Source organism: Homo sapiens, chromosome 7 (genome assembly GCF_000001405.40).
Source record: "Homo sapiens chromosome 7, GRCh38.p14 Primary Assembly".
NCBI classification, from domain to species: Eukaryota; Metazoa; Chordata; class Mammalia; order Primates; family Hominidae; genus Homo; species Homo sapiens.
Window position 1 is genome coordinate 1,218,184 of NC_000007.14, and position 20,898 is coordinate 1,239,081.

At 57.6% G+C, this 20,898-nt stretch overlaps 1 protein-coding gene across 1 annotated transcript, besides 4 other annotated features; it reads left to right on the forward strand.

Annotated features, from left to right (window-relative positions):
- Positions 4,990-5,284: a silencer, noted in NCBI's record as "tiled region #5475; K562 Repressive DNase matched - State 12:CtcfO". NCBI's record gives its function as "represses a minimal TATA promoter and a strong SV40 promoter by Sharpr-MPRA in K562 cells {active_cell/tissue: K562}" and the evidence as "EXISTENCE:reporter gene assay evidence [ECO:0000049][PMID:27701403]".
- Positions 7,335-8,499: an enhancer, noted in NCBI's record as "VISTA enhancer hs293". NCBI's record gives its function as "enhancer in: midbrain (mesencephalon)[8/10] | forebrain[8/10] | branchial arch[3/10]" and the evidence as "EXISTENCE:transgenic organism evidence [ECO:0001131][PMID:17130149]".
- Positions 14,689-19,143, forward strand: UNCX (UNC homeobox). The gene is made up of 3 exons (NM_001080461.3): positions 14,689-15,108; positions 15,337-15,512; positions 17,649-19,143. The coding sequence occupies exons 1-3, from the start codon at positions 14,835-14,837 to the stop codon at positions 18,792-18,794; spliced, it is 1,596 nt and encodes a 531-aa protein (NP_001073930.1). The 5' UTR covers positions 14,689-14,834; the 3' UTR covers positions 18,795-19,143.
- Positions 15,694-16,238: an enhancer, noted in NCBI's record as "H3K27ac-H3K4me1 hESC enhancer chr7:1273513-1274057 (GRCh37/hg19 assembly coordinates)". NCBI's record gives its function as "activates a minimal SCP1, AML or CMV promoter by ChIP-STARR-seq in naive H9 embryonic stem cells {active_cell/tissue: H9 hESC(naive)}" and the evidence as "EXISTENCE:reporter gene assay evidence [ECO:0000049][PMID:30033119]".
- Positions 16,411-17,239: an enhancer, noted in NCBI's record as "H3K27ac-H3K4me1 hESC enhancer chr7:1274230-1275058 (GRCh37/hg19 assembly coordinates)". NCBI's record gives its function as "activates a minimal SCP1, AML or CMV promoter by ChIP-STARR-seq in naive H9 embryonic stem cells {active_cell/tissue: H9 hESC(naive)}" and the evidence as "EXISTENCE:reporter gene assay evidence [ECO:0000049][PMID:30033119]".
- Positions 19,144-20,898: the final 1,755 nt, after the last annotated feature.

Consider the following 20,898-nt stretch of genomic DNA (forward strand, 5'->3'; position numbering starts at 1 on the left):
CTCGTTCACACACCTGAGCTCAGGAAAGCATCGCCCCCAGTTTCTCAGGAAGGTGGCCGCAGGAGCCTCCTGGTGACACAGGTCCTCTTCCCTGTCTCTGTTCTCCTGTGTTTTGTCTGAGGGCTGAGGCATTGACTCATGACCGTTTCCTCCATCTTGAAGTCTGTGGTTCTTCACCATTATACAGAACTCTGTTTGAAAGTCATTTTTTGGGAGGCTGAGGTGGGTGGATTGCTTGAGGTCAGGAGTTTGAGACCAGCCTGGCCAACATAGTGAAAACCTCTACTAAATACAAAATACAAAATACAAAAATATTAAATATTTAGTATTTAGTAGCCCGGCCTGATAATAATAACAAATTTTTTTAATGAAAAAAAATGAGTCACTCTCGTCTTAGTAAGTTTGAGGGTATCTTATTTAGGGGGAAACGAAGCCATAACCAAATGATGCAGAAGTTTCCTAGAGAAGGCAGAGAGAGGTTGGCCCGCCTTTGCCAGTGACCCTGAGCCAAACCTGAAGGTGAACAAGCCAGGTGCCCATTGTCTCCAGCGCACTTTAACAATGCTGATGAAAGCAAAAGAGGCCTTTTCAGCAATGCTGGCAGCCCCGTGAGCAGGGCATGGTTTCGCCGCTCCGTGGGAGTGGCCTGGGCCCCAAGACTCCAGAGACGCTACCATGGGGGAACTCGGTGGGCCTCTTCCAGCAGCCTGCCCTAGCCCGTGTAACCGGGCAGAGGAGGAGAAGCAGGCGGCCCCCGCTCACGCTTCCCACAGGCTATGCTCCCTCTGCTTTGCAGTGGTCCCGAGAATCCGATGGGCCACCCAGCCTCTACTCAGGCCATTGTGACACAGGCCCCCAGCGCTCCTCCTGCCTATTCTGAACGTGGGTTGCACCCCGGGTGCGTTGCAGTGTCAGACTGACCGGCCCAGAGCTGCAATGGCCCAGCGGGAGGTCACGAAGGGGTTCTGAAAATGAGCTGGGTGTGGGGGAGTAGGGGTCAGGAGGGGACCTGGAGTGGCAACCCCTGCACCTGCCATGCAGACGTTCCCCTGCGAGCTGGGCAGCAAGTCTCTCAGACAGAGCACCAAGAAGCTGCATTCCCCCGGTCTCCTGGGCTCACTCCCCTGACCCACTGCTATTAATAGTTGTGTCCAGGGGCCGGGCATGGTGGCCCATGCCTTTAATTCCAGCACTTTGGGAGGCTGAGGTGGGCAGATCGCCTGAGGTCAGGAGTTGGAGAGGAGCCTGGCCGACATGGTGAAACCCCGTCTCTCCTAAAAATACAAAAATTAGCTGGGTGTGGTGGCACATGCCTGTAGTCCCAGCTACTCGGAAGGCTGAGGCAGGAGAATTGCTTGAACCGGGGAAGTAGAGATTGCAGCGAGCTGAGATTGCACCACTGCACTCCAGCCTGGCAACAGAGTGAGACTCCATCTCAAAAAAAAAAAAATTGTGTCTAGGAATGAAAGCTGTTTGCAGCAAGCCAGAGAGAGCAAACAGCTCTCAGGTTCCTGTGTGGGGCCTGGAGACACCCCTGGTGGCTGGGGCAGGCGGGAGAACCGGGAACCTGGGAGACTGAAGGTTTAAACTTCTCTGCCACCTTGGCCCTCACTCACGACGACACCGGTGAGCTCCAGTTCGCACTCATGACCAGTTCTCACACATGACCCTAACTGGGATGTAATTTCTTCTTGCAGACTTGCTGCATATCTCTGTAGACAGATGTCCTATCCCCATCACCCCCGGAACTCACTACCCATGGACTCCTTAACTTGAGGTTACTGTGAACCATCTCAAGTTTCTTGTTTTTCTCCTGGTGGGTGGAATTTGACTGACCTCTGACTCTGTAGGAAGGTCAAAGGCAACAGGAACATTATTCCTTTAGCTATGCCTTTGTTTATGAAATCTTCAGAGCAATTTAGCCACCCTCTGACTGTCACACATCCCTGGGCAGGAACGAGTTGATAAGATGGGAGGGGCCTAAGTCATAATGGAGCAGGGGGGACGTGGGAAGAGCTCCCTTCCGCCCTGCCCCTCACCCCTGCCTCAGTTTGTCTGTGTGTAAGTAGCTGGAAGGGCTCTGCTGAGAATTAATTAACAAATGTCCATTTAATGTTTCTGGGGTAAGTGTCCCTTGGCTACTGAGCAGTGTTAAATAATTGCAACCCTCAAATGACGAGCCATCGTGTCTCTGATCTGGGGGGTGAAAGCGTTGTTACGTGTCTTTTCACAACGACTTTATTTAACGAGAGCTGATCTTTGCAATTTGGTTTATTTTCTCTATCCCTTTTAATTTCAGACTCAGGGGTTATTAGCAGATAACTGCTCATTTCTGCTGTAAATCAAGAAAATACTCATTAGAAGCCCAACGTTGAGATTGTCAGGAGCCGGGGCTTGTAAAGAACTGGGGGGAGGGCAAAATCTAGTGTGAAAATAGGCTAAGTTCAAAAGTATTTTTATTCAGGGAAAACGAAATGGCATTTTCTGAACTGAGCAACCTCTTAAGTTTTTTTTTTTTTTTTTTTTTTTTTTTTCAGACGGAGTTTTGCTCTTGTCACCCAGGCTGCAGTGCAGTGGCGTGATCTCGGCTCACTGCAACCTCCGCCTCCCGGGTTCAAGTGATTCTCCCACCTCAGCCTCCCGAGTAGCTGGGATTATGGGCACGCACCACCATGTCCAGCTAATTTTTGTATTTTTAGTAGAGACGGAGTTTCACCGTGTTGGCCACGCTGGTATCAATCTCTTGACCTCATGATCTGCCCGCCTCAGCCTCCCAAACTGCTGGGATTACAGGCGTGAGCTACCGCACCTTTCTCTTAAGTGTGTTAAACTCCAAATCGAACCTGGTAAGGTAGTAGGAGGACACCAACCCAGCAGATACGGAATTGAGTCCTCAAGACCAGGGAGTGGCGGGGACGAGTAGGCCAAGAGGATCCTCCCCAGGGACCCCTCGGGGGCCGAGCTGGCCACACAGGAGGGGCCGGACTGAGAGGACAGTTGTGACCTTCAGCATGCTGGCAGCCACCCTGCGCCCACAGAATGCAGACACTGCCAGCAGAAGGGGCTGGGGAGATATGAGAACATGTCTGTAGACTCTGAAAAAAACAAGAGTGCTGATGTTTAAACCATATGGCGGGGGCTGAGGACACAGGGACGCAGAGCTCAGCTCCTGGTCCTTCCCCGCCTCCAGTTCCCAGGTAGCATTTCTTCCCTTGTTTCTTTCTCTCGTGTTGATCACAGGAGAAAGTATTTTCAGTCCTCACCCCCCGTTTCCTCATTTTATACTCCTTTCCAGACGGTAGGATCTCTTCTTGCAAAATTATCCTCGCCTAATCCATGGAGACAGAAAGTGGATTAGTGGTTGCCGGGGGCTGGGGGAGGGAGCTGGGGACGGAGAGTGACTGCTAATGGGTGCCAGGTCTCTTTTCGGGGTGATGAAAATGTTCCAGAACTGGATAGGGGTGGTGGTGACGCAGCTCTGGGGATGTATATACAGATGCCGAATTGTATGCTTTAAAAGGATGGATGTGATGGTGCCAGTGATATCTCAATAAAGCTGTTATTTTAAAAATAGGCCTTGGCCGGGCGCAGTGGCTCACACCTGTAATCCCAGCGCTTTGAGAGGCCAAGGTGGGTGGATCACGAGGTCAGGAGATCAAGACCAGCCTGACCAACATGGTGAAACCCCATCTCTACTAAAAATACAAAAAATTAGCCAGGTATGGTGACGCATGCCTGTAATCCCAGCTACTCAGGAGGCTGAGGCAGGAGAATCGCTTGAACCTGGGAGGCGGAGTTTGCAGTGAGCTGAGATCCCGCCACTGCACTCCAGTCTAATGACAGAGAGAGACTCCGTCTCACACACACACACACACAAAATCAGCCTTGCCTGTTGTTACAGTCCTATTACAATTGCTGAGACTGCGTGTCTTCAGCCTCTGGGTGGGAACTCACGTGAAGTTACTCCAGTGGTTCTGTGAGTTGCCCTCAAAGCTTTAATTCACCCCTAGCTTTTGCCTGAACACTCGTACAAGTTGGCCAGTATGGAAGACCCCCTGGTGTCCCATCCAGAGTCCACGTGCTAAAAGCTGCATCTGGGGCAGACACAGGCCTTGGATTTCTTTTCTTTTTTTTAGACAGTCTCACTCTGTTGCCCAGGCTGGAGTGCAGTGGTGTGATCTGAGCTTACTGCAACCTCCAACTTCTGGGTTCCAGCGATTCTCCTGCCTCAGCCTCCCGAATAGCTGGGATTACAGGTACCCACTACCATGCCTGGCTAATTTTTGTAGTTTTAATAGAGACAGGGTTTCACCACGTTGGCCAGACTGGTCTTGAACTCCTGACCTCAGGTGATCTGCCCACCTTGGCCTCCCAAAGTGCTGGGATTACAGGCGTGAGCTACTGTGCCTGGCCAGGGCTTGGATTTCTAAGTTGTCAAATGGGTTTATAAAAATCCTGTAGCAGGGCCAGGCGCGGTGGCTCACACCTGTAATCCCAGCACTTTGGGAGGCCGAGGCAGGCAGATCACAAGGTCAGGAGATTGAGACCATCCTGGCTAACACGGTGAAACCCCGTCTCTACTAAAAATACAAAAAATTAGCCGGGTGTGGTGGGCGCCTGTAGTCCCAGCTACTCAGGAGGCTGAGGCAGGAGAATGGTGTGAACCCAGGAGGTGGAGCTTACAGTGAGCCGAGATGGAGATCGCACCACTGCATTCCAGCCTGGGAGACGGGGTGAGACTCCGTCTCAAAAAAAAAAAAAAAAAAAAAAAAAAAAAAAAAAAAAAAACTCCAGTAGCAGAAAAACTGAAATGTGACTTGAGCCCCAGTCAAAGGGAGATAGGGAGACAGTGAAGACCCTGCTCTTTCTGAATCCTTAGAGCCCACCAGACCCTCTAAAAGGAATAATACAAAGACCCTCCTTTCACCAGATCAGCCGCAGGAAATGGCAGAACTCCCAGAATTGGGCCTCTGGTCCAAGGAGCGCAAGGGTGGAGCATGGAGAGGCCCATCAGGCATGGGAGGTCCTGGCAGAGGGGACTGGGAGGTCTGCATCGGCCTTGCTATGCCCTTTCTTGTTCTTGCAACTTCCTAATTTCAAACGTTTAATGAATTTGAAAAACAAGAAGATAACCCAGGCTGAGTTTGACACTGGAACCCCTTCACCCAGCCTGGACACAAGGTGTCCCCATCCTCCCGGGGACCAGCTCGGCGTCTCCTAGGATGGCTCTGCAGAGAGCATTGCAGAGTCATAGGACAGAAAATAAAAACAGGTCAGTGCTGGGTGAAAAAAGTTTTCTCTGAGCTGGACTCCTAGACTACACTGGCTAAGCACCCATGGGCATCTCAGCACCAGCTGGACTAATGTGAGGCCTCCTGCTGAGGTCCCAAGCCCCGCTTCAGAGAACAAGCCCCGCTTCAGAGAAAGGTGACCTTCGGGTGGCCTGTAGGATGACACTCAGGTGACCTCCACCTTCCTCCTGCCACAGCGGTCAGAAGAAGGCAGCCCTGGGAGGACCCCTCCGCCCAGGAGAGGGAAGATGCAGGCCGCACTGCAGAGACAGGCGGCTTGGAGGCTCCCCTCTGCCCCCAGCCCTCTCCAAGGAGCTGCCAGGCGTCAAGCTACTGCACAGGTCCCAGGGAAAGCCTCGACCCCTTCCTCTCCCATGAGCAGTAGTCGAAGAGGCTGCACGGAGGTCCCGGCCTCCGTGAGGGCGGTGGGTTGGAGAGGGCGCCTGGGGCCTCAGGACCCTGCTCCCTCCCGGGATTGTGGGTTTCCTGCCCCAAGGGTTTCGCGGCGTGGGCATGAGCGCTGGCATCTGCGCGCCCTGAGGTTCGGCCGCTGCGTGGCCTTCTCCGGGAGGTGGGGGGAATCCGAAGAGGTCCCACCCCAGGTTCGGTTCCCGGCTTCCTGGTCTTTGTTTACCAGGCTCCGAGGAGGACCTGCCTCTCTCCTCCCGCAGCCCTGGGCCCCCCACTCGACAGTTTCACATCCAGGGAGGGACAAAGGGGGACGCGGCCGGATTAGCTTTCGCAGCGCGCGGTGCGTTCCCGGGGTGCAGCTGCTTCGGGGCCCCTGCCAAGGCTCCGGCTTCTGCAGGCGGGACTCGGGCTCGGGCCACCACCGCGAGCACTTTCCTGGCCAGCTCCGTTCCCGCCCCATCGGGCCGGGCCGGGCCGAGCTGAGCGGGGCGCGGAGACCGCGGCGGACGGTGGGGAGAGCGCGCGCGCGTCCATCCGATTTCAGGCCTTTGTTGCCGGAGCCTCGTGCCGATGGGTTAATGGGGCAGAAGAGATCGGTGAAGGGCGACAGAAGCGGCCTTTGAAAGAGGGTGTCAGCGCGGGGCAGCGAGACAAAGGCCAAAACACACACGGGCGGAGAGGGACAGATGGGGACGGGCGAGGGAAAACAATTAGGCCGCAAGTGCGGGGGCGGGGCGCGGCTCCATCGTTTTCCAGTTAACCAGGCCTGGCCGGCGCGGGCCCCACGCCCCAGGCTGGAGCGGTGCCGAAGCGCAGAGCAGACCGGCTTCTGCTGCGTGCGCGAGTCCTGCACCCCGGCCTGCACCCCGCCCTGACCCCTCCACTCCGTGCAGGGGGTGGGGGCAGAAGGGGGCAGGGGAGAGGGAGGGAGGGATGGATGGATGGATGGATGAGTGAGTGAATGAATGAATGAATGAATGAATGAATCCCCCTGCCCGTAAATAACAGAAGAGCTGCGTCCCGGTGCCGGGGGTTGGAGCGGAAGGAGGGGCAGGGGAGAGGGAGGGAGGGATGGATGGATGAGTGAGTGAGTGAGTGAGTGAGTGAGTGAATGAGTGAATGAATGAATGAATGAATGGATGAATCCCCCTGCCCATAAATAACAGAAGAGCTGCGTCCCGGTGCCCGGGGTTGGAGCGGAAGGAGGGGCAGGGGAGAGGGAGGGGTGGATGGATGGATGAGTGAGTGAGTGAGTGAGTGAATGAATGGATGAATGAATGAATCCCCCTGCCCGTAAATAACAGAAGAGCTGCGTCCCGGTGCCCGGGGTGGGGGCAGAAGGAGGGGCAGGGGAGAGGGAGGGATGGATGAGTGAATGAGTGAATGAATGAATGAATGGATGGATGAATGAATGAATCCCCTTGACAGTAAATTACAGAAGAGCTGCGTCCCGGTGCCTGGAGTGGCGGCAGAAGGAGGGGCAGGGGAGAGGGAGGGAGGGAGGGAGGGATGGATGAGTGAGTGAGTGAATGAGTGAATGAATGGGTGAATGAATGAATGAATCCCCCTGCCCGTAAATAACAAGAGCTGCGTCCTGGCGGCTGACCGTAGCCACCCCGTGTCTCCCTGCGGGATGACCTGAGAGCGTTTCCTGGAAGCCGCGCAGCCCCTCTCCCGGCCTCCACCATCGGGGCCGCTCACCCTCTGGGGACTCTGGCCCCGGGACCCCGGGATCCAGGCCCGGTGCGCGCGGCTCCGGCCCCGAGCGCGCTGTCCAGGCTGGATCCCCACCAGGCGGCGCTGCGCCCCTCCGAGCCCGCCCGGCCGCGCTCTGCAAACCGATGCTGTTTAATTAACGTGCAAATTGAGTAGATTAAATGACTCTAAATAATTAGCCACAGATCCTACAAACAGGATAACAGATTTAATTAAGCAGCGATATAGATTTTGGAAACTGTTAATGTATTTTTAGAATGGCAGCTCAGATCCTTCACTTTTCCCCCCTAACTTCAAACATGTAACTACGGCCCTCCGAACGTGGATAAATATCTGGAAACAAGATTACGCCTGTTAACTTCAACTAATAGAAATGTGGGTTTAACAGGAACTTGCACGGCTCCGGCGCCGGCGCCGCTGCAGCCCGCGTGGCCCGGGCCGGGCCGGTTCTGTTTGGCTTTGTTGTTCTTGGTGCGCGCGGTCTGGCGCCTGGGCCCTGGGCAGAGAGGGTCAGAACATACAGGAGGAAGGGGAAGGGAGAAGGTGAGTGAAAAATACAATCCAATTTCATTATATCAATCACATTTAATTGGCAATTTGTACGAGCAATGACCGGGCTGGCTTTAGGTAAAACTATTAGACGACAGGCGGATGTGCTACTAAAACTCTTGGTTAGTTAATTAGTGTCTGAACTGCGGAGGGAAAGGATCCTAGATTTACTCTCTACAAAGAGAGAGCAGCCCAGACAATTCATTAGGCAGGCGGCTTGTAAATTAGAGCTAAGTTAACCTGATTTCCCTTAATTAAAACATCTTTTCTCGTTTACGATGTGGATATAAGTAGATCTCCAGGGTTTTGAATTTTCTGCAACAGCAGATGGTCAGCTAGAAGCAGATAATAGTTAACGCTTTCTCTCTACCAGATCTGAACAACGTGAGCCGCCGGCCCATCTGAGGATTAAAAGGAGCCATAACAAAGAGTGTTAACCCTTCGCAGTCTTCCAGCTCCCCAGACTCCAAGGGCGGAGCTGCCCCTGGCCTGGGGGCACCAATAGGGCACCGGTGACCAGGACTGCAGATCCCCTGGACCTCTGAGGCAGAGGGAGAGGGGCCTGGGGTGTCGGGGAAAGTGTCCACGGGCTGTCCTCCGGCGAAGGGGGATGTTGGGAGGAGGGACGCTGACTGCTGCCTGGTGGGCTGGCACAATGAGGTGGCCGCCCCAGACTTCCACAGATGGGGCTCTCAGTGCCTGGCCACTGCCTGTCCCGCCAGCCCTCTGCTTGTCACAGCCTGAGCGACTTTTCCTGTGCCCTCCGGCCTCCAGCCCTAGCCCTGGTGCTGGGGCCCAGCCTGGGGGCGAATGGCTGGCCTGGGCCCAACGGACCTTCACACCTTCTCACACTGTGGGCTGGCACCACCATATAGCTGCTCCCTGGATTCTGGTACCCTCCGAGAGGTGTGGGGAGGAGACCCTGCAGCTGTGGGGACCGTCAGTGGGGTCCTCAGCTGTCTGCTGGTCTAGGTTTCTTCCCTAGTGCAAGAGGACTGGAGGCCTAGGGCCTAGGAGCTTTTAGGCCAACCTCCCCAACAAAGTCAGGCAGGGCCTGGGAAGGGCTAGCGGAGGCTCAGAACATCCCCCTGAACCACCTTCACGGGCTCCCACTGAGACCCAGGCCGGTGTCCATGGCCACAGACTTCAGAGGAGCTAGCGCGAAGGCCAGCTCCGCTTAAAACAACAGAGGAAGGCCCCCCGCCGGGCAGCCCCTTCTCCTCCTGGCCACATTCTGCCACTGGACCCCAGCTGAGTAGCTGGGAGGCTCCGGTCCCTCTGAGCTGGCAAGGCCCCACCGCAAACACAAAGCCGGCCACATCCCTCAGGCCCCTGCCTGCCTCCCCGCCCTGGGAGACCTGTACCCCCACCTCAGCCTGGGTCCGTGGGACCCGCTTTGGCCTGCACCCCACCTGGAGGCCTGGGGCTACCATCTTGGTGGCGTGGGTGAAAGAAGCCACCTGGATCCCGGCCGGGGAACTTGGCCCAAGGGGACTTGGGCTCTGGCCGTCTAGTGGGGAGGCGAGGCGGTTACAAATGGCTCACAGGAGGGTAACGCGGCGCAGATTGAGTTTATAAAATACAAGGCAAACACTGGAGCTAAAATTTTATTGTTGATAAAATATTAACCTCCTTATTACTTTCATCGCACTTTCAAATAAAGCACAGCAAATTAGAAGCAGCCTCTGAAACAAATCCATGGGTGATTAAATCAGGGGATGAGTTAGGAGAAGGGGAAAGTTGAGAAAGAGGAAGATGGAGACTGGGGCGAGGGAGGGGAGGGAAGTGGCAGGCGTGGGGAGGCAGCCTGGGGTGGAAATGGGAGAGGGGCCCTTCCTGGCCTGCCCCGGGAGAGAAGGCTGCAGCAACTCCCGGAGGAGTGGAAAGGCGAGCGGTGGGAAGTGCAGGAGAGAGAGAACTCTGCAGGAGGGAGCTCTGGGGAGTGCAGGGGCGTGAAACAAGGAATCAGTCGGGAGCAAGACGTCTTCAGAAACGGGGGTGTGTGGGGGGCGTAATAAAAAAGCTTTCTCTTGTCTCTTTGTATTGGGTGACATGTTGGAGGTTTTTTTGTGCCTGAAAAAAGTTATAAAATTTGGATTAAAATCTTCAGGCCTATGGGTTGCCTCCTGCCCCTCAATGAAGAATTCTAAAACTGTTTTTACCAGCAGAGAAATGAAGCTGATTTCCAATTCAAATCTCCCGTCTCCCTCTCCCTCTCAGCACTCTGAAGGTGTTGCAGAAATGAAATGGGGGTTATCTGAAGATTTGGTTACATTTTCTCTCTCATTGTGTTAAATTACTAAATTGAAGTTTTATAATAAGGAATAAGTCAAATTGCAAACCCCCATCAAATGGAGCTGTGATTAACAGAAAATGCAGGCAGCGAAAATGCAAATGGCTCCGCACAAAGAGCTTCTCACAAATTGGCGTCACCATTTCTCAAATTATATCATTACTATATTTTGAAAATGTTAATCTGTTGAGCGGATTTCCCGGGGGAGTAGAGTAAATTAGTTCCATTTCCGAACTGCCTCTCTGCTCTGGCACCGAGTCGACAAGCACCTCCGATTTCCTGATTACAATTAGACTCCTGATTTGGGCTCCTTCAAGCATTGATAATTTTCGGCATATTAAGCACGTTTTAGCAAAGGTGATAAGTCAGTTTTAATTGAAATGAAATTATTATTCTGATGGAAGTTTGGTTATTATTATTAAAAAGGCACACTCATTTCAGATTCAGGGTTTTTTAATGCAAGAGAAAAAGATTTTTGAAGGGCATTAGGGTGTCAGGATTGAACGAGGTAATTTGAAGCGAATTACTTTTTTCTTTCTATCAGAAATGAAGTGAATTAAAACTCAAAATCAATCGCCTTCACGTCCCTGCCCCCCCCACCTCCTTCTCTACTCCCCCTTTTGCTTTGACAGAATTACAATTATAGATAATTATGGAGGGAAGTTTTAATTGTCCGGATTAAGAAGGATACAATTTTCCGAGGATCAGAGGGACGTTTTGAAAAGTAGTTTCCTCATAAAATCAAATCAAAGGTTCCAGTTGTTGAAAACATCAACAAAATCTCTTTGCTGGTTAATTGGAATCTCATCCAGTTCAGCAGCGGATCAAATCACCTCCAACAATTAATTTAGATTTAATTCTGTAATTATCAGCAAATCGAGTAATGCGCAAGTTAATTTAGATAGTTAAAAATTAACTTGCGTGAAGTTAATTGAGTAATTAAAACCCTCAACTGCCGCCTATTAATTTGCTAATTAAAAATAAATTTGATTTTGTGTAATTTAAAGTAATATTGACATCAGTGTTGGATGGGCGATTTTATTAGTTTTATCTGGATGGGGAGATGGCTGCAGACACCTGCTTAGACGGCCCCGGGGCTGGCGGGCCAGAGGGGGAGGCGCTCCGGCCGCCCCCGACCCGGACCCGGACTCCGGGCCCCCAGCTGGGCCCAAGCGCAGGAGGCCGGTCCTCACGGTGCGCCCGGGAAGGGAAGGGCCGAGCGGCCTGGAGCTGCCAGAGGCCGCGGCCCGGGCGGGGGAAGGGGCAGGCGGAAGGCGGGCCCCGGAGGTCTCCGGCTGGGCCGGGCGCGCGCGCCTGGGCCCTTTGTCTCGCGCGGCCGTCGGGCCCGGGGCCCCAGCCCTGTGCGCTCGGGGCGAGGAGGTTCCCGGCCGGCCGCAGCCCCGAGCCGAGGCGGGCGCGGAGGATGAGGGGGGGTTTAGGATGCGGCCCCGCGACCCCCGTCCCCCTGGACCGCGGGCTGGACCGGGCCGGGGCGCGTCCGGCAGCGCTGAGACCCCCCACCCCGAATCAAAGTAGCGGCGGCTGCGGGGGCGGCGGGTGGGTGGGGGGGAGCCGAGGAACACGGCGAGGCGAGCGGCGTCCTGAATGCGAGTCGTGTGCGTCTTATTATCAAGTTAATTAAAGCTAGCATCTGACAATGTCACTCGGCTGTAGAAAAAGGGATTTAAATGCAGCGTCTCCCAGGACCGCGTGTCGAGGGCTGCTTCCCATGCAGTTGTTTGGAGGAACAGGGCCCGCGAGGGAGGGGGCGGGGGCGGGGGAGGGGCGGGGGAGGGCGCGGGGGAGGGCGTGGGGGAGGGGCGCGGGGAAGGGCGCGGGGGAGGGGGAGGGGGCGGGGGGACCCTTTAAAGCGACCGCTCCAGCGGCAGCAACTGACAAGGAGGCGATTATGAAATTTTGATGTTGAAAATGGGGGGCGGGGTGGGGGGGTGGGGGCCGAGAGCAGAAGCCGAGCGACTCCCCGCGGCGCCGCCGCAGCCGAGGGCCTCTGAAGAGCTCTCGAGCCGGGCGGGGGTCGTCCCGGCCGCCCCCACCGTCATTAAAGGCCCCTCTCAAACACTCGAGGAGGTTTTCGGAGCGCGAGCCGGCCCGACAGCATGAAAAACACAGGGCGATTGAAATGCGAGCATTGGGACGCACGGAGCCGCCGCGGCGCGGACTCGCTCTTGAGGTCAAGTGACGGACGGATTGTATGCTTCTTCATAATAATATTAATTAAACAATTTGCATGCTAATAAGGTAACAATTATCAGGGCCTCTGTTGAAAGATTCGGGTTATTACAACACGCCAATCTGAAGGCCAGGGGTCAGAGAGTGAGAGGCGAGCGAAATTTCAACTCAAATTAACATTCTGTCAGCTCCAGAAAATGGGATAAATAAAGTCGAATTAATTCATTATAATAAAGAGAGATGGGCGAGGGAGCTCGGCCGGCGCGCGCCCCTCCTCTGCCCTCCCCCCGGGCCGAATAGATTACAGCTCTGTATTCAGAAACACGCGCCGCGCGCATTCCTCCTCGCGAACCCAACAGAAGACCAGGCGCTTGTGGCTGCTGGCGAAATCGAGTCGGATGGACGGAGTTTACATTTAGTATTTATAGAGACAGAAATTAAATTATGGCGAAAAGTAGTGCTCTTGGCCTCTGACCTCGGAATGAATACTCGCAGCGTTTTCCTAGTGAGACTGGAAACAGGGAGGGGGCTCCCCAAATTCCAGGCCGCCTCTCGGTCTCCTGGATTGGCTGGGCCTGGTCCTCAACCCTGCGCCGTCCCCTCCTCTCCCGCAAGGAGAGACAAGAGGGTCATTGAAGTCGGAGTCAGCGTGGATCGGCCCGTCCACGACCTTCAGTTAGGAACAGGGCCAGACTGTGGGTCCAGTCGCAGGGACAGGCAGTCGTGTGGCAGGACGGGGTGGCCTTGCGCCCGCCAACCCAAGCATTCCCCTCCTGAGCGTTTCCGGCACCCCCCACCCTCCCCGGCCCAGGCACGGGCACCTGACCCGGAGGGACGCAGAGATGCGCACGGTCCCGGCCTGCCCTTCCCTCTCACGCGGGCTAGGGCTTGGAGGCCTGGCCCAAGTCACTTACTTACACCCAAAGCCAACTGGTCTGTCACTTTGCCCTGGGGTGGTGGTGGCTCCGCAGACTGGCCCAGCCCAGGCCGGAGCTCTCCTCCTCTCTTCCCCGCCCTGGGCTGGCCGAGGCTCGGGGCACTCACTGCTGGAGAGGTGGCCCTAACCCAACTAGTCCAGCACTGGGGTCCCGCAGCCAAATGCGACCACCCCACTGACAAACTTTTTTACAAAGGAGAGAGATGGACCGACATCCCCTCATTTCTTTCCTTGCTGCCCACAATCCTGATTTGCTGCTTATTTAAGAATATATCCTTTAGTGATTTAGCTTTGAGTCTATCAATATTTTATAGCAGAGAAGGGAGTGACACTTCTCTGAGAACATAATTTAATTATAATAAATGGGTTGGGTGCTTCAGCCCCATCCTTCAGAGGCCGAGTCAGAGCGGATGTATTTATCTTTATTCGAGCGTGTAAGGGGGTGGGGGCGGATCGGCCCCACCCCAAAGTTACTTTTCCCCTCCTGTCCCCATCCCTCTCTCCTCCTCTGCGCCCGGGCTTTATGGGGATGGGGGTCGGGGAGCCTCCGCAGCCCCCCCCACCTCTGTCTTTGTAGATAGGGCGACTGCCAGTCAATCAGAGAGGGCATTAGTTACGCCTCTTTATTGACAGGGTGCTACATTCTGTAGTTCTTCTCTTTCGGGATCGCCCTCCTCCTCCTCCTCCTCCTCCTTCCTCCTCTCCCGCCGCCTGCAGCCGGAGAGGAGGAGATGAGAAGCCTTGTAGTTTTAAATTCAATGTGACAGTTTCGGAAAAGCGGATGATGAATCTCCTATTATTGGATCAGTCTATTTGCCGCTCAATGTCTCTCTGTAATTGGAGCAACATCACTTTAAAGGTTCAGAGAGTACAGCATTTCTGGTGAAAAATCCCCACAACACGGCGCTGAATGTTTTAAAGGGAAATCTATTAGTGATTTGCGGAGGGGCGGGGAGGCGGCGGCTGGCGGGAGGCGCGGGCTCGGGGCCGGCCCCGAGTGAAGTGGGGGGCTAGCTGGGGGCCCCTGCCCCGGGCCCAGGCACCAGCCCGCGCCTGCCCGGCCCTGGGCGGCCCCTCCCTCCCTCCCTCCCTCCCTCCGGCTCCCCCCGCCCCCAGCCCGTCTTGTTGTGACAGTTCCTGATACTGTTTATTGAGGTGCATGTCAGGTATAATTAGCAATCGATATGGAAAACGTTTCCCTGCACCCAGCACGCCTCTGACGTCAGAGCCGATTAGCGCTTCTTATTGGTCCCAAATTCCCCGGGCCGCGGCTAATTATCGGGAGCTTGATGTTGATAAGTAAAGCGCCGGAGTGCGGGCGAAGCATGTGTGGGGCTCCGGGTCCCTGTCTCCGCCGCCGCCGCCCGCGCCTCCCGCCGCTGGCCCGCCCCGGCCCCGGCCCGCGCCCCCGCGCCCCGCCACCGGCCCCGCCGGCCCCCCGCGCGAGATGATGGACGGCCGCCTCCTGGAACACCCGCATGCCCAGTTCGGGGGCTCGCTGGGCGGCGTGGTGGGCTTCCCCTACCCGCTGGGCCACCACCACGTGTACGAGCTGGCCGGGCACCAGCTGCAGTCGGCCGCCGCCGCCGCCTCGGTGCCCTTCTCCATCGACGGCCTGCTCGGGGGCTCGTGCGCCGCCGCCGCCTCGGTGGTCAACCCCACGCCGCTGCTGCCAGCCGCCTGCGGGGTCGGCGGGGACGGCCAGCCCTTCAAGCTGTCAGGTAGGCGCGGCGGGCGGGAGGGCGGGGAGGAGTGCGGCTGGGGGCGGGGGCCCTGGTCCGGCCGAGGCGCTGGGGGGCCCGGGGCTGGCGAAGGAGAGCCGGCTCCTAGGCGGCCGTCTCTGCGCCCCCCCCCCCGGATCCAGGCGGCCAGCGGGTAGCGGGAGGGAGGGGTGGGGGTCGGGCCTGGGCCGGTGGCTGAGCCGCGCTGCGTCCTGTGACTGCCCGCAGACTCGGGGGACCCGGACAAGGAGAGCCCGGGCTGCAAGCGGCGGCGCACCCGCACCAACTTCACCGGCTGGCAGCTGGAGGAGCTGGAGAAGGCGTTCAACGAGAGCCACTATCCCGACGTGTTCATGCGCGAGGCGCTGGCGCTGCGCCTAGACCTGGTCGAGTCCCGAGTTCAGGTAAAGACCCGGCGTCGCTCCCGGATCTGCCATCCGGACCCCAGGCTCTGGGCGCGCCGGGACGCCTTTGTTCCAGGTGGCGAGATATCGTCCCCTTGCCGCGGGCCCGCTTCGCGCTCGCCTGCTGGGGAAGAGTGGAGGGGTGGGGGTTCTGGGGCTCGGCCCCTCACGGACAGCGGGGTGGGTAACTGCCCCCCAAAAGCCTGGGCGGCTTGAGAAGGGCCGGCGGCAGCACCCGAGTCACCAGAACAGCGGCTGCGTCCGAACCGGGAAGCGGCGTGGTGGGTTGGCGGAGGCCGGGCCAAGTGAGGTCTCCAGGCAGGGGCGAGGAGGGGAGGAGGGGCCGGCTTGGCTCCGACCCGGAGGAGAGAGGGAAGGGGACCCCCCCCCGCCCCCGCACCGCCTCAACCTTCCGCGCGAGGCTCTGTCACCCAGCCTGGAGCGAACGAGTCTGTTTACCTTGCGCCTGCAAAATATTCAGATGGAAACATGTATTTATTCATCGCTTTGCAGAAGGGAACAGCTGAGGAAGGGGAGGCAGAAGCTTAAACAGTTAACACATTGAGAAAGTGGGAGAAAAAAAGGTGTCTGAATTTTTAATAATAACCCCGGTCTCATCTTTTTCTTACGACTGTTTTCCCGTAAATTTGCTATCATTTGGAGATGGCTGATGGTATTGTTTTAAAAATACAGTGTCAGCTTGGTGGATTAAAAATTCCAAGATGATTTGTGCATAATTAAATGTTTCCCTGGAGCAAAGAAATCCTCTTTTTCTGCGGTGGGTGCGGTGTGGGGTCCAGGTCTGTGGTGCGGTGTGCGGTTGTGGGTGCTAGGCGTTGAGGCAGACGCTGGCAAAACGCCTGTTTATCACCAATAGCTTTGTCTAAAAAGGTGTGTTTGTCCTGCGCTTGGACCTCCTCTCATGACCTCTTCTGCTTGGAAATCCTTTCATCCAATTTGTTCTAAGTGTCTTAAGTGAAGTCAAGACCCCTCCATGTCTCCCCTAATACGATAATGACTAATTCTTACAGGCAAGGCAGTCCGGAATTCGCACCAAAAAAAAAAAAAAAAAAAGTTTAAAGAAGGAAAAGGCGGTTACAGCGTTGGGGGAGGGCTCGGCTTCATGCTGGAGACCTCCCCATGGACAAGGCTCCCTGCGACAAGGCTGGGCCTGCTATTGTGCAAGTCTCTGTGTGGCCGCGACAAAGAATCCGTATTAACGCGCCCTCCTGGGGAGGGCAGGACTGCCCGAGCTTCCGCGGGGCTCAGACGGATTTGACTGTGTGTGTTTGGTGGCTGGCGGTTGAGTGAGGGTGTAGCGCTGCCGTCCCCGGATGTCCTGTGTGGCTCCCCAGGACAAGGACTGCAGAGAGGATGGAAGAGACGCGATGGGCCCAGCCTCTCCTTCCGGCCTGGTGGTCGCCTCTTGCCTCCCCACCTGCCTTGGCCGGTGGCCCAGGCCAAGGACCGCAGGTTTGGGAAGGCTCCGTTGGCGCCCTGGCCCAGGGTTTGCGGAAAGAAGGCTGTGTTAGCTGTGCCCTGGGAGGGAGGCTGCAGAGGCCCACCCAAGTACGGCTCCCCAGGCCCTTCCGGACGAGAAGCACCCATATTTCCCTTCAAGGGATTCCGCCCCCACCCCCGAAATGTGGGCTTTGACACAGTCTCCAAGGGGCCGAAGACAGGTGTGGAGGGCGGCTGTGGCTCAGCGGTCCAACGGCAGGATGGTCAGCGCCAGGCCGGGCGGGCTGCTTAGAACACGAGCCGTGAGCGGCCAGGAAGGGTGAACAGGGGCCTTGCTCTCTAGCCTCCGGACCAGGAACCCGACGCTCTCCGTCCGGGGCCAGACCGGCCCCCCAAGTAAGGGGCGGCTCCCAGGTCCCCGAGGTGAGAAGCCAGAGCGGGAAGCTGGCCGAGAGGCCCCGTCTACGCGCCTTCCGGGTGGAAAAGGCGCTCGCTGGAACCTGCAGCTCCAGTGGCAAAGCCCAGCTCAGGGCCCGCTCGGCCGCGCGGCTTCACTCCTGCCCCGGCCGAGCGGAGGTTGTGCAGGCCCCTCTGGGGGGAGCGGGGAGGTCCTCGGCCCCGGCGGCCAGCCCGCCGCCTGATTGTGGCTTCCTCTCCCCTATCCGGCTGCTCTAGGTCTGGTTCCAAAACCGCCGGGCCAAGTGGAGGAAGAAGGAGAACACGAAAAAGGGCCCGGGGCGGCCGGCGCACAACTCGCACCCGACCACGTGCAGCGGCGAGCCCATGGACCCGGAGGAGATCGCGCGCAAGGAGCTGGAGAAGATGGAGAAGAAGAAGCGCAAGCACGAGAAGAAGCTGCTGAAGAGCCAGGGCCGCCACTTGCACTCGCCCGGCGGCCTGTCCCTGCACAGCGCGCCCAGCTCCGACAGCGACAGCGGCGGCGGCGGCCTGTCTCCGGAGCCGCCCGAGCCGCCGCCGCCCGCCGCCAAGGGCCCCGGAGCGCACGCCTCGGGCGCCGCGGGGACCGCGCCCGCCCCTCCCGGCGAGCCGCCTGCACCCGGCACCTGCGACCCCGCCTTCTACCCGAGCCAAAGAAGCGGCGCCGGCCCACAGCCGCGCCCAGGTCGCCCTGCGGACAAGGACGCGGCCTCGTGCGGGCCAGGGGCCGCTGTGGCGGCGGTGGAGCGCGGCGCCGCGGGGCTGCCCAAGGCCAGCCCATTCAGCGTGGAGAGCCTCCTGTCCGACTCGCCGCCGCGCCGGAAAGCCGCTTCCAACGCCGCCGCCGCCGCCGCCGCGGGGCTGGACTTCGCGCCCGGGCTGCCGTGCGCGCCGCGGACCCTGATCGGCAAGGGCCACTTCCTCCTCTACCCCATCACGCAGCCGCTCGGCTTCCTGGTGCCGCAGGCCGCGCTCAAGGGCGGCGCGGGCCTGGAGCCGGCGCCCAAGGACGCGCCGCCCGCGCCCGCCGTGCCGCCCGCGCCGCCTGCCCAGGCCAGTTTCGGGGCCTTCTCGGGGCCCGGCGGCGCCCCGGACTCGGCCTTCGCGCGTCGCAGCCCCGACGCCGTCGCCTCCCCGGGGGCCCCAGCCCCGGCCCCGGCGCCTTTCCGGGACCTCGCCTCGGCAGCGGCTACCGAGGGCGGCGGCGGGGACTGCGCGGACGCGGGGACCGCCGGCCCCGCGCCCCCGCCGCCCGCGCCGTCGCCCAGGCCCGGCCCTCGGCCTCCCAGCCCCGCCGAGGAGCCGGCCACCTGCGGGGTTCCCGAGCCTGGCGCGGCGGCCGGACCCAGCCCGCCGGAGGGCGAGGAGCTGGACATGGACTGAGGCCGCGGCGGCCGGGAGAGGCGCGTAGCCGGCCCGCGGCCGCTCGCTCAGGCTCCGACTCACGCAACGAATCAGGTGATCGGCTCTAGAAACACTGCTTTCCCTTCTTTTCTTTTGTTTTCTTTCTTTTATTATTTTTTTTAAGAGTAAACGAAAGTGCTGTATGAATTCGGACCCAGGCAGCAACCACAGGACTGGGGGTGAGACCCTCCTCCTCCCAAGAGAGCAAAAAGGACCCATGGCCCCCAAAAAACCCCACAACGAGAATCCTCAGCCTTGTAAAATGCAAAAATGTCTAAGAATATTTATATATGTACCATTTTTGATAAATAAAGCTGGTCAAACGCAAGTTTTCAGGTCCATCTTTTTAAATTTGCCAAGCGCCCAGCCCCGCCGCCCTTCCCACCTTTCCACGCCTCTCTCCGCGGGTGGGGCCCGGAGGGGGCCCCGCACTTCCCGGGGGTCTGCGCTTAATGCGTCCTTTTGTGTGCGTGTGTGTCTGTGTTTTCTGATTCAACACATTTATGCATCTGCGGCTCCCGGTCCCCGCCCGCCCCGGCGCTCCCCCTCCTACCCCGCGCCGCACACGCACGCTCACATCCGCCGCGCGCCCCCGCGCGCACTGGCACACGCCGGGGCGCGCGGCGCGGGGTGACGGAGCCGGGGGCTGCGAGGGCCGGGCCGCTGGGCTCCTGCAGAGTTTTGATATGAAAGTAATTATTTTCCGGTGGCTGCTGCGGGGACTGGGTTTCTTGCCCAAAGGGTTATTATACATTACCGATTTCTAGTGATATGGAATCACATAAACTTCCTACAATAATAGAATTAGCATGAAAGGCTGGGGTGTCAAATTGAAATTGGAGAATAATAGCGCCGGCAGCTGGGGGAGTGCGTGCGCATATTGGAGCGGAGATGGGGAATCGTGGGGCGGAATTTTCATGAGCTGCACTCTTTGTCAGCGCTCTTGTAGCCGGCTATATTAAGATAGATGCCCAATGATATCCCTCATTGTTCTGTCGCTTATATTGATGTTGCTGCGTTATCAGCCTATTGATCATGTGTCGCCTGTAATAGGACAGGCGCCGCCAACGCGACTCTTTACAAAAGCCGTGCACATTTGTTCTAATAGGGTCCGGGTCCCCAGGGGACCCTTCGGGGACTTCAGGACATCTGCAGCGAAGAAATATTAGCAAACTTGGCTGGAGCCTGCAGCCAGCCCCGCGCCCCCGCCCCTGCCCGCAGCCGCCCCATCCCAAAGTGAACCGCCACCCGTCCTCCATCTCCCCCCACCCCCCCAAAAACCCCAACCCACTGGCCTCAATTTTCCTGGGCCCTGGGTCCTCGTTGCCGCAAAAGCCACCAATTCCCCGAGAAATTGGGATCCCAATTATTAAAACCATTAATTCCAACGAGGCTGAGCACAGTGGAATTATGTTTACAGCCTCGTTAAATATCCCTGATCCCTCCTGGTCATCAGGCCTTTATTTGCAAATAAATTGAAAATAATCTGAAGGACAGCTTTCCTCCTCGCGCGGGCGCAAATGAATTTCGGAGCCCGAGTCCCTTTAATAATATTTACATAATTTTCGCTCAGTGACTCTGATATTTGCTCTCTAGGAGACCGAGCTTATAGGAAAAATAATTAGATCAAAAGAAAAGTGAGAGGGGGAAGGAAGAGCAGGGGAGGGGGCGGGATCCACGGGAAGGAGACCTCTGCGCTGGTTGCCCAACTCTGGGACAGGCCGCCCCCAGTGGAAGCCAGGAGTTGTCGGGGAGGGGACGCGGGGTTCCCATGGAGGTCGCAGGAGCTCGGCCGCAGAGCCTGGCCCTCTGCCCCTACCCCTGCTTCCTGGGGTCCTGCAGCCTGGGCCTCCCCACAGGCCGGCCAGGGCCGCGTCCCAGCAGCGCGGCCTCCAACCCTTTGTCTCCGGCCGGTCCCGTCTGGCCTCTGCGGTCAACTCTTCCTTCTCCCGCCCCCACTCCCACCCCCATTAAACTGTATTTAAAGTGTCATTTAAATTATGAAATTGTGGCAGAAAATTGTGCGTAAAATGCCGGTTATTTTATCTAAGGTGAACAATTTGTCTGGCAGCGATAAATCGCC